Raw genomic sequence first — 14,220 nt, forward strand, 5'->3', positions numbered from 1 at the left:
ACTGGAAACATGATAGGAAATTCTTACTTAAACTAAGTAATTGTCTCAGTCCATTCATGCTGCTATAATAAAATACCTTATGCTGGGTGATTTATAAACAATAGAAATTTATTACTTACAGTTTTAGGGGCTGGAAGACCTCAAAAGATTTACTATATCCTGAGGACCCAGTTTGTGCTTTCAAGATAGCACCTTGTTGCTCAGCCTTCACATGGCAGAAGAGACAAACGCTGTGTCCTCCCATGGTGGAAGGAGCAAGGCAGTTTCTTTCAACCTCTTTTATAAGGGTGCTAATTCCATTCATGAGGGCAGGGCCCTTGAGGCTTAATCACCTCCTCAAAGGCCTCATCTGTTAATCACCAGAGTGGGGATTAGGCTTCAGCATTAATTTTGGAAGAACACATTCCCACCATAACAGTAATTTTGAGGCTTAGAATCAGAAGGTAAACTGTCAGCCAGTTCCTAGGAAAATCGTAGGCAGTGATTTGGGGAAGAGGGTCTAAATCACTAGAGTTACTGAGACTCATAGAGGTAATTATGACTCCCTTGCCTGTCAGCAAATTTTATCTCAGACTTACGTGTAGAGAACAAGTCTATAGAAAATATTTAACTAGCCCCAATTAAAGACATGGGGTCATGATGACTAATTTAGACAGGTGTGTGTGTGACACATAAAAGTCTTTGATAAATGGACCGCCTATCCATCAATTTGTCGTTCATGTAGCTATTCATGTAAATGTATGCTCATTTATGTGGGCATATGGCATGATGGTAAAAATTTTTAAAAAGTGTGCTCTTGCGATAGTTTGATGAGAATGATGGTTTCCAGTTTCAAGGACAAAAAACCAAACACCACATGTTCTCACTCATAGGTGGGAATTGAACAATGAGAACACTTGGACACAGGAAGGGGAACATCACACACCGGGGCCTGTTGTGGGGTGGGGGGAGGGGGAAGGGGGGAGGGGGGAGGGATAGCATTAGGAGATATACCTAATGTAAATGATGAGTTAATGGGTGCAGCACACCAACATGGCACATGTGTACATATGTAACAAACCTGCACATTGTGCACATGTACCCTAGAACTTAAAGTATAATAAAAAGAAAAAGAAAAAAAAGAATAAAATTTTGTTTTGTATTAAAAAAAAGTGTGCTCATTTCTCTACCTATTCATCTTCTTTCCACCTCCCTCTCTCTTTTCTTTATTTTCTTTTGTTTACTTCTTTCATGTCAATAGGTTAGTAAGCGCCAACTTACTAGACTGAGCACAAGCTAGAGATTTGTTGATTTCTAGTCTCTTCTAGTCCTCTTTTAAGAAAAATTTCAGATGGCTTTGGGACGATTTGTCTACTCCAGAATGATAGAAAAATAAACCGGGATGGAGGGAGCATCAAGGTCAGGCAGTGTTGTTCTCCTTTCTAAATGAAACACTTGACAAACTGAGCAAAGACAGTCATTTATTTTTATTAAAGTGTCTGCCTACAGCAGAGGCAAGAGTAAAAAGAAGCTAGGTTATGTATGCTTCTCTGGAAACCTAAATCTTCTGCATTAATCTATAATGCTCCCACATGGCTGGATGGTCCGACAGCATTTCAGAGACTTCTGGCAGAGAGCAATAAGTTCTTCATTTTTCCCGCAATTGTTCTTGCATGTCCCTTTAAGTTTGTTGCATTTCTCATCAAAAAATGCATTCTTGGCTACACGAGGGAAGGAGCCATTTGGATTAATTCCCTTTTCAGACATGTATGTTTACCAGATACGGTTGTATGACTACTTGGTGAAGATTTTTTCACAAGCTGTCATAGTGCCATATCCTACCGGTAGATGAGATGGTAGGGGACCTGATTTTTATCTGATATTTCAGTCTCATAGTCACACAGGGTGAAATACCGGAAAGAATACATTTGTCTTCCAGCATTTGAGACCAAGCTGTGTAGGAGCTTTGGGAAACGTCCCTAAGCTATGGTTCTTTAATCGAAATCTGTTGGGGATAATTATCAACTTGTTCCCATAAACACTCCCAGAGGCTGCTAATTTTCCTAGTGCACTCTCAGAGGCTGCTACTTGGTGAGAGTAGAGCAAGAGCTGAGACTGAGGAGATAGCTCCAGACCAGAGCAAAGGAAGGGATAAAGATATAAAAAGAGAATGAGTTTACTGTGGTAGATAGAAACTTGCTTGGAAGGCTCAGCCTGATTTCTCCTCCATATTCACCAAAGCAACGACTGCGGAAAACTTGTGCTTTAGAGAAGGAGGGTGCAGCATGTTGGGAATGTTTTTCTAAGATTTTCTCAGTTCATTTTGTGGAGAATTCCAGTTCCCACCTTAGGGCTTTATCAGTAGCAGTCCCAAGAGCAGCCTGCTTCAAGTTAAGGACAGACAGCACGTCTTATCAGGATCAACATTTTAGAGCTGCCCAATTTGTGTATATATAATGAAGGCATCAGATGTACAGAGATTGCATTTAATGTCTATACTATAATGTATATACATTTAATGTCAACATATAAAGGTGCCTAATTCAAATCTACATAAAACTTACAGCCAGGTGGATTAGTGCCAGCATATGCACTAATGATTATCCAGGATCAGCACATCAGTTCATAAGTGAAAATACTCCACTATTTCAAAGCTCGATGAACTCTGGCTCTCACTGGCAGGGGTCTATGTTCTCTCTGCCCTACTGTAAGGCAGATACTAATATAATACTATACCATAGACTATAGTGTGGTATTCAGATAAAATCTTTTTGGTTTAGTATAGTATCATAGTATAGATTAGTATATACTATAAAAATACTAGTATTATAGTATATACTGGTATAATAGTGTATACTATAGTATTATACTAGTATATATACTATACTATATACTAGTGTGTTATAGTAGTATATATACTATATACCAGTGTATTATACTAGTATACTATACTATATACTAGTGTATTATACTAGTATGTACACTATACTATGTACTAGTATATAATACTACTAGTAATAATATAGTATATATACTATATTATCATACCAGTATATATACTATACTATATACTAGAGTATTATACTAGTATATATACTATATACTAGAGTATTATAATAGTATATATACTATACTATATATTAGTGTATTATACTAGTATATACACTATACTATATACTAGTGTATTATACTAGTATATACACTATACTATATACTAGTGTATTATACTAGTATAATACACTATACTATATGCTAGAGTATTATACTAGTATATACACTATACTGTATACTAGTGTATGTACTAGTATATACACTATACTATATACTAGTGTATTATACTAGTATATACACTATACTATATACTTGTGTATTATACTAGTATATACACTATACTATATACTAGAGTATTATACTAGTATGTATACTATGCTATATACTAGAGTATTATACTAGTATGTATACTATGCTATATACTAGAGTATTATACTAGTATATATACTATATTACATACTAGTATATAATACTACTAGTAATAATATACTAGTATAATATAGTATCTGGCCAGGTGCAGTGTCTCACACCTATAATCCCAGCACTTTGGGAGGCTGAGGAGGGTGGATCACGAGGTCAGGAGTTCGAGACCAGGCTGACCAACACGGTGAAACCCCGTCTCTACTAAAAATACAAAAAATTAGCCAGGCAAGGTGGCACATGCCTGTAATCCCAGCTACTCAGGAGGCTGAGGCAGGAGAATCGCATGAACCCCGGTGGCAGAGGTTGCAGTGAGCTGAGATTGTGAAACTGCACTCCAGCCCGGGGAACAGAGTGAGACTCTATCTCAAAAAAAAAAAAAAATATGTATATATATATATATAAAATATATACTAGTACAATACTATATAGTATATAATACTAGTACAATACCATACTGTAACATCAGTAAATAATTATAGTATATACTATGCTATACTATAATACTAAACTAAACCAAAAAGATTTTCTCTAATACTATTGTATTATAGTATTATACTCTAGTATATCTAATAGGTAATTATTAGATTATCTAATAATTATATAACAAGCATTATGTAATTATAGATAAGTATCTGTAATTACATAATAATTATAGTAACTAATTATACTTTTATAATTATAGTATTATCTAACAGATAATTTTATAGAATATAACATCTTTTTTTTGACTTATTATATAATAAGTATGAGTGATCTGAAAAAGATACCTCTGGCCAGTTTCGAACGTGCATATCAAAACCAGTGGCCTGAATACGGCATAGGTCACTGTGGGTCCTAGATCCTCATGTTTTGACACAGAATCTACTCTCACAGGCTTGTCACAAAACAGACCAGAGCTATGAGCAGCTGATGTGAAAAGTTGAGCATCATACCTGGGATCGTATATCACTGGTATCTGGCACAAATTGGGAGTTACTGTGGGCTCTGAGAATCCCTTTCTTCAGCTCTCTGGAGGCTCACATGAGCCTGGTCTTAAGCCTTAATTTTGAAGAGGATACAATTGGAGCCACTGGAGATTCCCAGGAGCAGGAGAAAATGAAGAGAGTTTTGATATGGGAAGGGTGTCTTTAATGCCTCTTACTGTGGCAAGACAGTTGGGCTCCTACCCTGGCTTTGTTTTGGTTATCTATAAGACTCTGAGAAGCACTGAGCCCATCTGAGGCACAATTTCTGCATCTGTAATAAAATTTGTAAAATGGACCTTCAAACCCAAAAAGATTTTCTCTAACTTCCATTAAATTAGGGGTAAGACAGAGTTTTCCGTAAAGGCGCTGGCACTGGAAGACTAGATGCATTTTATGTGAAGCTCTCATCACAGTACTTGGCTTGATGATATGTGATCAAGAAATGGCAGTCCAAGTTACGCTGCTTTACCTGTTGCCATGACTGGCATGAGTGCATAGGTGTCTCTAAGCTCAGATCCTTACCTGTCCCTTCTCCTTACCTGTCTCAATCTCTACCATAACTACATTTTAAAAGGTTCATAGACTGCTATCCTTGTTTTTAATTTTTTCTCAATTTTTGTTTTTGTTAGTGAGCATGAGATGGGATGCCAAAAGGCATCTTTCCTGGCCTTCTTTTATTCTTTCAAACCTGTGACAGCCCCTCCTAGATAACAATGTAAAATGCAAAGGAATTACAGAAGAGGCGTTGGGGGATATCACCTCTTGTAGTAGATGGGTTGATCACGCCCAGGCATTCACTGAAGGGGACCCTGTCTGTGGGACACCACCTCCGATCACCTTCCCTGTAAAGATGCCCATTTTACCTGGGGTCAGAAAGAAGAGCACGGCAAAGAGAAAGAGGAAAGTCCTCATGACTGGGTGGGTCTTGAGAGATCAGCACCGTGTCCATGAGGAAAGAGCCGCAAACACCCACATTTATACATTTCTCCAGACCAAGTAACATCTTGATCAGTGAGGCTTAGCAGAAACGAGAGGATTTCCATGCTCTGCTGCACAGAGCCCACCCAACCTCAGTGGGTGTCACTCAGTCTACAGCTCATCATATTTCTGATTCTGGAAAGTTTTGAAGAAGGAAAGTGGGGATGAAGGGAGGACAGAGTAGGGCAGACACAGAAAAAATAAAAAAATCTGGAGTCCAGTAGTTTCGTTTCTAATCCTGGCTGTGTTCCTGAACAGCTTTGGTTTACTCATATGTAAAATGGGAGTAATTATACAATATCTCAATGCTTCAGTTAAGAGCTGAGGAACCGTAGTGAGGTGGAATCTGAATTCCAGATTCAGTCTTTTTGAGCTTTGTAAACTTGGCAAAGGGCTTGACCTAAGCATATATTTGTTAAAAAATGTGAATCTTGCTGTATGCTGCACGCTTTTCGTGCTTGGTCCTGCCATGCTGCTCACCTGTACCATGGCACTGTTGGCGCAGCAAGGGGCTGGTAACCATCATGCCTTGCCCTAGACACCTGGGCTCAAGCAATCTACCTGCCTTAGGCTCCCAAAAGCTACGATAATAGACATAAGCCACCCATCTGGGCCAATATTCATGTCCTTAATGAATTTAAAATATGCAGTAATTATGGCTTTGGTGCGTGAGGTGATATCTTACAGGAAAGGGGACTCAGAGCTAACTTGACAAAATGATTGCTACCCCTCCTTTTCTCCCTGTGATACTTGTAGAGAATAAAAATGAAAGCTAGAAAAGTGAGAGTCCACATTTATTGAGTTCTTACATGGTACCAGGCCTCCTTCCAAGCATTCCACATATTCAAAACACTTTTGCATTATAATCATACTAGATTCTTACAACACCTTTAGAGGCAGGCAGAATTTGCAAGTGGGTTCTTATTTTCTCCCAGAAAACAGAAGCTGGAAGAGATGAAAGGGGTCACTATCTTCTGGCCCCTGCATTAGTATGGTGGAAACTCACATGGCCCCTGCTCTTTCAACCTCTAGCCTGGTGTTCTTTCCACTACACCAGTTAGACTCCCCAAAATAAAAGGCTTTCTGGATGCCAAGGGTTATTATCCATGATATCATCCCTTTATCCTGGGAAATGGAGCATATAATTGTGTTTTATTGATTCACTTCACGGATCAAGAGCATCTCCCCATTACTTTTAAATAAAAATGAGCCTCTCATTTGGGTCTTCTCAAGGAAATCCCAATCTCTATTCCGAAGAGTCTTCCCTAAAAGATGGCCCTGATCAGGAAGACATTTTATTTTCTATTTGCTATGTTCTTCATTTTGGTTCAACTGCCATCAGGTAAGTAAAAATGGATGGGATTTTGATTGGGCAGATTATAAAGCCTGTTGATTCTTCCATGTTTGACCTTAATGGTCAAGCTCTCATGGCACCTGTCATGGGAATTTCTTAGACCTACAGTGACATTTACTAAGAGCAAACAGCATATAGTGTATTTTTTTTTTTTTGTAATTTGTTTTTGCTGGTTACCTGGAATGCTGGCCTTGAGAAACAGAATAAAGATTGCAACTCTGTGATCTACTGTCTCCTGTTATGCTATGTCACATGTGAAGTTGGGAGTGTTTTATACAGTGTTAATTCCTGTGTTGATTTTAATTTTCAAAATGTATTTTGTTTTGAATTTAGGGTGCCAGGCAGGACTTGATTTTTCCCAACCATTTCCATCAGGTAAGTTAAATCTCTTGTATATAATTATTTTTTCTCTTAGGAGCTCTGGCGCTGTTAGGTCTCTCTGATGTCTGGAGGCAAAGAGGGGACAGAGATAGTGGCAGAAATAGAATTGTCTGAAAAATCAGTTCACTAACTTATCTCCTTCTCTTTCTCTTGTTCCAAGTATAATATTTGGATATTTTTGATTTCACAGAAAAATATCTTTGTGACTGGACTGTAATTTGGCCATAGAGATTTGGACTCAGTGGCTTTTCCCATTAGCTGTTGGTGCTCACTAAACCAAGTTCTTAGATTTATTCTTGTACCAGCCAATTAGCACTGCTCTGTGAACACGCCTGCCCATCTCTTGCAAGCTCTGCTGCTAAGTCTGGTAATAATATATGTCACAAATGCATGAGGTTAGTTGAAGGAAGCTCAAATTAAAGAGTGAGGTTGCCTCAGTGAAAACTCAGCACCATTGCAGAAAAGCTATTCATAACGAATAGCCCCCAGATCTTTTCTTTTTCTTTGAAGTCATCTTATACAGAAAGAAAGGACATTGTAAACAAAACTAAAAGAAATATTGTAGACAAAGTTGAAATGGTTTTAGACAGAATTTCAAAGTGAGAAATATGAAGGTTGCTACTAGTCCTTGAGTGTTTGCTCTGTACCAGGCATCCTGCTAAAAACTTTACATGGACTTTGTCATGTAATCCTCAAAACAGTCCTATGTGGTAGGTATTATTATAATGAAAATATTTACATATAATATTCCATTTGATCCCTAAACTGATTTAAAAAATGTAGTCAGGTGCTTCTAGAATGGCCACTGGACAAATGAGAATATGGACCTTAACCTGCCGGCTACTAGGCCCAAACTAGAGTTGATCTTCAAGGATCTTTAAAAAACCACAATATACCCCTCCCATTTTTTGTCTAGTAAACTTCACAGTCATATCAGGTATGTATTTTTATAGTTCTGTAATATGTATGTCTCTTTGTCTGTCTGTGGTTTACTTTTGATCCCTGCCAGATTATAAACACTTGGAGAGTAGGAATTGCGATGATCTGTTGCATAAAAATTAACTCTCCCCAACTCCCTACTGCAAAAAGCAGAAACTATTTTTGAAAAATCTGGGCTGATTCTTGAAAATATTCTTTGTAATCATACGTACGAACTGTCCCTTTTTTTTTGGTGGTCTTTGACATGTTCCCCATTTCTAGACATTTCCTGGAAAGCTCCCTCAGCAGCTCTTTCTTGGCACAGGTGAGTTTGCTGTCTGTGAGTCGTGCAAGCTTGGTCGGGGAAAATGCAGGAAGGAGTGCTTGGAGAATGAGAAGCCCGATGGAAATTGCAGGCTGAACTTTCTCTGCTGCAGACAGAGGATCTGACAAACCAGACCAGCACACTTCTGGCCTTAGAAGCAGACCTGGATATTCAAAGAAGTTCAAGAGAAGTTATGTGGCTTATCCAAATCACACAGTGAGTGAGTCTCAGAATCATTCTCATTTCTTTCTCCCTTTGTTACGTTTTATTGCTTATTTTTTAAAGATGACTTTTTTTCTTTTTTTTTTTTTTGAGAAGGAGTCTCACTCTGTCGCCCAGGCTGGAGTGCAGTGGCTCGATCTTGGCTCACTGCAACCTCCACCTCCCGGGTTCAAGCAATTCTCCTGCTTCAGCCTCCCAAGTAGCTGGGACTACAGGCGCATACCGCCATGCCTGGCTAATTTTTGTATTTTTACTAGAGATGAGGTTTCACCATGTTGGCAAGGCTGGTCTCGATCTCCTGACCTCAGGTGATCTGCTCGCCTTGGCCTCCAAAAGTGCTGGGATTATAGGCATGAGCCACCATGCTGGGCGAGATGACCTTTAAAAAACATCAAGACATGAGTGTGTACCTAGTATCTGCTCAATCAGATACCACTACTATGTATATGTAGAGTACCTTACAATTTATGAAGTATTTTCCATACTTCTCTCATATGACTCATGATTACCTTATGAGGTAGGTTTTATTACTGCCATTTATATTTGAAAATATTGAGGCTCAAGAGGCTGTTAATTCTTCAGAGCCATAGCTAGGATCCAGTAACTGCTGTGCACATTGCTGTCATGTTTTATGTATCCATCTATATGTACTAACTATGTTAATGGAATAATAATTCTATCAAATATAATACATTATTTTTATATTCACATTATTTCTTGGTTTGTCTAAATATTGTCATTCATTGATTCTAGTACTTATGGTGTATTTACCTGTGAAAGAAAATGATTAGAGATTAACTTAAAATGTTCAACACAGAATATGCATAAATGGTTGACTGTCTAATTTTGCCTTGTGAAATAAAATCCAGCTTCACAAAATAAAGGCCAAAATTACCAGCCCTATGACCAGTGACTTGAACTTGGTTACTTAGTTTTAACGTATGAGATTAAACAATGTTTTGTTTAACATTTGGGCCTATTATTTGTCTCTTTGTGCTCAAATCTGTTCCTTGTTTTTTTCTGCTTTGCTGAGTAAAATGGGAACTATTAGTTGCAAACTACATTTTCCAGGCTTCCTGACTTCTGGCTAGTTTTGGTCAATGTGTCTCCTAGGAGAATGGGAGATTGAAGAAGGAAGGACAATGTGAATTTCTCCCCGACTCCCTCTCTTTTCCAGCAGTGGCTTTTCATGCTCAGCAAGGCCGCTGCTTTTCTGTCTTCTGCACTCACCTGGCAGTCCCACCGCAAGTTTAGCTTCTGCCAGCCAGTGCTGCTCCCAGGCTCACACAAATCCTTCCATTTTTCCTCAAACCTTAGGGCAGTGGGAGATTTCTGCTGTGACTATCAGTAGGGTTGCCTCATTGCTCCCGCTTTGCATTGTCATCTTTTCCAACACTTTATCTGTACATATTAAATTCTTTCTATAGAACTATCCATTGGGGGAACCCTTTTAATGCTTGATTGGTTCAATTTTTAGATTCACTCTATTTACATATGATCCACTGTTTTCCAAAAGAGATTTGAAACACAGCCCTCAAGAAGCCTAGAGTGTTTCCTTCATTTACACAGGAATTACCCCAGGGAAGTGGGAAGTGGGGTATTTGGTCTTAAGAGTCCAGTTCACAGTAATTTTCTGCTGGCAGATGGTCTTCCTCCCCAGGTCTCCACAGTGCAAATGCAGCTGCTAGCTTACAGAACACCATGAAACTGGAATACTACTTACTCATTCCAAATACTGCATTGCTTTATCTTAAAAAAATGCTCTGGAACCTAGTTGAAGTTTCTTTTAATGAAAGATTCATGTGAGTGTCTCAGAGTCATACAAAGTGGTAGACCAGTAGCTGTGCCCTGATATTACCTCACTAATGACCTCATGTAGCATCCAGATGGCAGCTGCAGAGGACACCTCCCACAGGTGCTCACCTAGTCACAAATTGTTCCCTTTCATGGCAGGCCAAGTCTCACTAACGCAAGACTCCATAACAACTGCTTTAGTACCCACTGAGGGGTTAAGTTAAATATTAAAAGCTTAAAAAGCCAGTGCCCTGATATAAAGGCTTGAATGTAACAAAAGCCCACTAAGAGTTTTGCTTAGGCCTTTCCTGGGCCTTAAAGCATGACAAACTAATGAAGGAGTTCTTAACAGGACCCGTTTAGGATTAAACAAGTTTATAGGAGGTCTGAAGAAACTCCCCAAATATCAGTGATTTAGCAGGAGACAAGGTGAGGGTAATAACCCCAGCACCTGGACCCATTTAGATTAAGTACATTTACTGAGGCTCCAGAGGAAGGTCTTCGGGACTCAGACCTTAGTTATAGATTAAAAGAAGTTAATAACTTATGTCTTTAGATGAATGCACACTTACACATAAACATATAGCTTGGAAGGTATATAAGCTCTGGAAAACTTTGTAATTTTAAGTTGGTCTGGCGATAATTTCCAGGACTTCTCCCTATAACTGGTTGCAGAAATAAAAACTCTCTTCCTCCCGAGTTTATTTGCATCTTGTTATTGGGCTGTGAGAAATAGCAGCCCAACTCTCCGTTTGGTCCAGGAACACTTTCTTTACACTTTAGATTCATGGAAACAAAGAGACTGAAAGTAAAAGGATGGAAAGAGATTTGCCATACAAACAATAACCAAAAGAGAGCTGTAGTGGCTATACCAATAGTGTACAAAACAAACTTTAAGACAAAATTGGTACTAAAGATGAAGAAGGGCATTTTGTAATGTTAGCAAGTTAATCTATCACGATAATATAACAAGTATAAAAACATGCACCTAACAACAGAGTGCCAAAATACATGAAGAGAAAATTGACAGAATTGAAGGGAGAAATAGAGAAGTCAACAGTAATAGCAGGAGACTTTAATATACCACTTTTAATAATAGACAAAACAACTAGAAAAAAGATTAGCAAGGAAATACAAGATTTGAATAGCACTGTAACACAATGACCTCAAAGCGTGGAACACTGCACCAATTACAGCAAAATACACATTCTTCTTCTGTTCACATGAAATATTCTTTAGAATAGACTGTATGTTAGATTTAAATACAAGCTCCTCAATACATTTAAAAGGATAGGAATCATACAAAGTATGTTCTCTGAACAAAATGGGATAATAGAAAGAAATTTGGGAAAGTCACAACTATGTGGAAATTAAACAGCATAAATGTGAATAAATGATGGGTCAAAGCAGAAAACATAAGGGAATGTAGAAAATATTTTAAAGGGAGCCCCCAAACACTTTAAAATATACAACACAACAGCAACTTACAAAAACTGTGAGATGCAGCTAAAACAATGCTTACAGGAAAATGTATGGTTGTAAATGCCTGTATTTATAAAGAAGATAGATTTAAAATCAGTAAATTATCTTCCATCTCAAGAAAATTAAGGAAGAGCCAACTAAACCCAAAGCAAGCACAAGGAAGAAAATAATAAATATTAGCACGGAAATAAATGAAATAGAGACTAAGAAAACAATAGAATAAATCAACACAACAAAAATTTATTTTTTGAAATGATCAACAAAATTGGCAAGCCTCTAACTAGACTGACTAAGAAAAAAAGAGAATACTCATATTACTAAAATCATGAGTGAAAGAGAAGTTTTACAAAAGATCTTACAAAAGTATTTTTTAATATTATTAAGGAATACTATAAACAATTTTATGGCAACAATTTTGATAATCTAGATGAATAAATGCCTAGAAATGCATACATATCAAACCTAATTCAAGAAGAAATAGAAAGTCTAAAATGGACCTATAACAAATAAAGTGCATGAATTGACAGTAATAACACTAACAAAAATCCCACATAGTAAAACCCAGGGCCAAATGGCTCCACTGGAACATTGTAAAGATGTTACTCTATTTTATTTTGCCTCGATTTTTTTTTCAGACAGGGTCTCACTCTGAAGCTCAGGCTGCAGTGCAGTGGTATGATCTCGGCTCACCCCATCCTCTGCCTCCGGGGCTCAAGTGATCCTCCCACCTCAGCCTCCTGAGTGGCTGGGACCACAGGTGCCTGCCACCATGTCCAGTTAATTTTCGTATGTTTTGTAGAGATAGGGGTCTCATTATGTTGCCCAGGCTAGTTTCGAACTAAACTCCTGGCTCAAGTGATCTGCCCACCTTGGCCTCCCAAAGTGCTGGGATTACAGGCGTGAACCACCACACCTGTCCTGGCTTGCATATTTTTTGATGAGAAGTTTGCTGCAGTTATTCTGTCATCTTTCTACAGGCAGGAGGCATGTATGCCTTCTCTGTTGACAAAGGTAGAGGATGTTCTTTATTTTTCTTTTTTAATGTGCTCCCTTCTCCTCGTTCTCCTAGCTTTAATATTTTGTTTTGCATTTTTTTAGATTGTTCATTCACCAGTGCCGTACAAACAACTGTTGTTCTTCCCTCAGTTTCTTAATTAAGAAATTAAGACTTTCTTTTCCATAAAAGAGAAAGATTCTTGCAAGCTTTCGTTCTTTCTCACAGTGGCTACTGTTCCCCTCAGCCGACTTACATCATGAAATACTCTAATCTTTTTTGTAAGCACCTGCTGAGTCTATGGAGAAGACATTAGAAGTTGCTGTGAACTTCTCTTTTGTCTGTGACCCCAGACATTTATATTGTTTCTCTAGTTTATGCTTGCTCTTAGCAATTCTCTACAGACTTTACCTGAAATCTTTTAAATCATATTCTGGGGGTAATCTGCTTCAGGTAAGCAAGCACTCATGGTCTTTATTTTTTGGAGGTTCCTGTCTTTTCTTATATTTCTAGGTAGGTGGCTGATTTGTGACCTTAGCTTTCCAATGAGTTCAAGAAACTGAATATTTGCAGTCTGCCGTGTGTTTTGCTGTGTACTTGTTTCATGTGGGATGATTTTCTTTACGTATTTCTACATCTTAAGCAGAAGCCATTCTTCATTTAATAACACACTTACTTTCTTTAAGACATACAGAAATACTTATATTTTCTGCTAATTCTTGTGCCAATTTTGGTAAGTTAAATTTTTGAGAGAATTCTTTTATTTTATGTAAGTTGTGAAATGTTTTGGCATATACCTGTTGACAACATTTTTATATTAGTTTAATGTTTCTTGGATCTGTAGTGATAACTTCTTTTTCACTTATTCTGCATACTTGGGCTTACATTGTTCCCTTTTCTAAGGTTCTTAGAGCATAATTTTAAGTCATAGATTTAAACATTTCTTCTTTTCTACAATAAGTATTTGGATACAAATTTCTTTCGAAGTCATTGTTTTGTTGTGCTCCACAAAATTCGATATACAGAAATGCTTTCCAATTATTCTCATTATTTATTCTTTGATACAAACACAATCTAGAATGATGTTGCTTTATCTCCACATATTTGAAAATATCCTAAATAGCTTATTTTATAGATTGCCAATTTAATCCCCTTGTGGTGAGAAATACACTCTGAAGTATTTAAATGTGCTTAAACACATCAATATTTGTTTTATGGCCTAGCATATGGTTCATTTTTATGAATGTATCATATGTACTTGAAAAAAATGTGTATTTTGCAGTTGTCTTATGATGTGTTCTATAAATATCAATGCAGTCAGTGGAATGGTGGTATTGTTCAGATCATGCATGAC

At 37.6% G+C, this 14,220-nt stretch overlaps 2 protein-coding genes across 2 annotated transcripts; one reads left to right on the forward strand and one right to left on the reverse strand.

The window, feature by feature from the left end:
• Window positions 1-1,451: 1,451 nt before the first annotated feature.
• Window positions 1,452-5,348, reverse strand: DEFB106B (defensin beta 106B). Its single transcript, NM_001040704.2, has 2 exons — window positions 5,282-5,348; window positions 1,452-1,700 (listed from the first exon to the last, which is right to left on the reverse strand). The coding sequence occupies exons 1-2, from the start codon at window positions 5,328-5,330 to the stop codon at window positions 1,552-1,554; spliced, it is 198 nt and encodes a 65-aa protein (NP_001035794.1). The 5' UTR covers window positions 5,331-5,348; the 3' UTR covers window positions 1,452-1,551.
• A 1,278-nt stretch (window positions 5,349-6,626) lies between these two features.
• DEFB105B (defensin beta 105B) lies at window positions 6,627-8,541 on the forward strand. The gene is made up of 3 exons (NM_001040703.3): window positions 6,627-6,738; window positions 7,084-7,125; window positions 8,375-8,541. The coding sequence occupies exons 1-3, from the start codon at window positions 6,669-6,671 to the stop codon at window positions 8,497-8,499; spliced, it is 237 nt and encodes a 78-aa protein (NP_001035793.1). The 5' UTR covers window positions 6,627-6,668; the 3' UTR covers window positions 8,500-8,541.
• The last annotated feature ends 5,679 nt before the right edge of the window (window positions 8,542-14,220 follow it).

This window comes from Homo sapiens, chromosome 8, assembly GCF_000001405.40.
Source record: "Homo sapiens chromosome 8, GRCh38.p14 Primary Assembly".
Taxonomy (NCBI): Eukaryota; Metazoa; Chordata; class Mammalia; order Primates; family Hominidae; genus Homo; species Homo sapiens.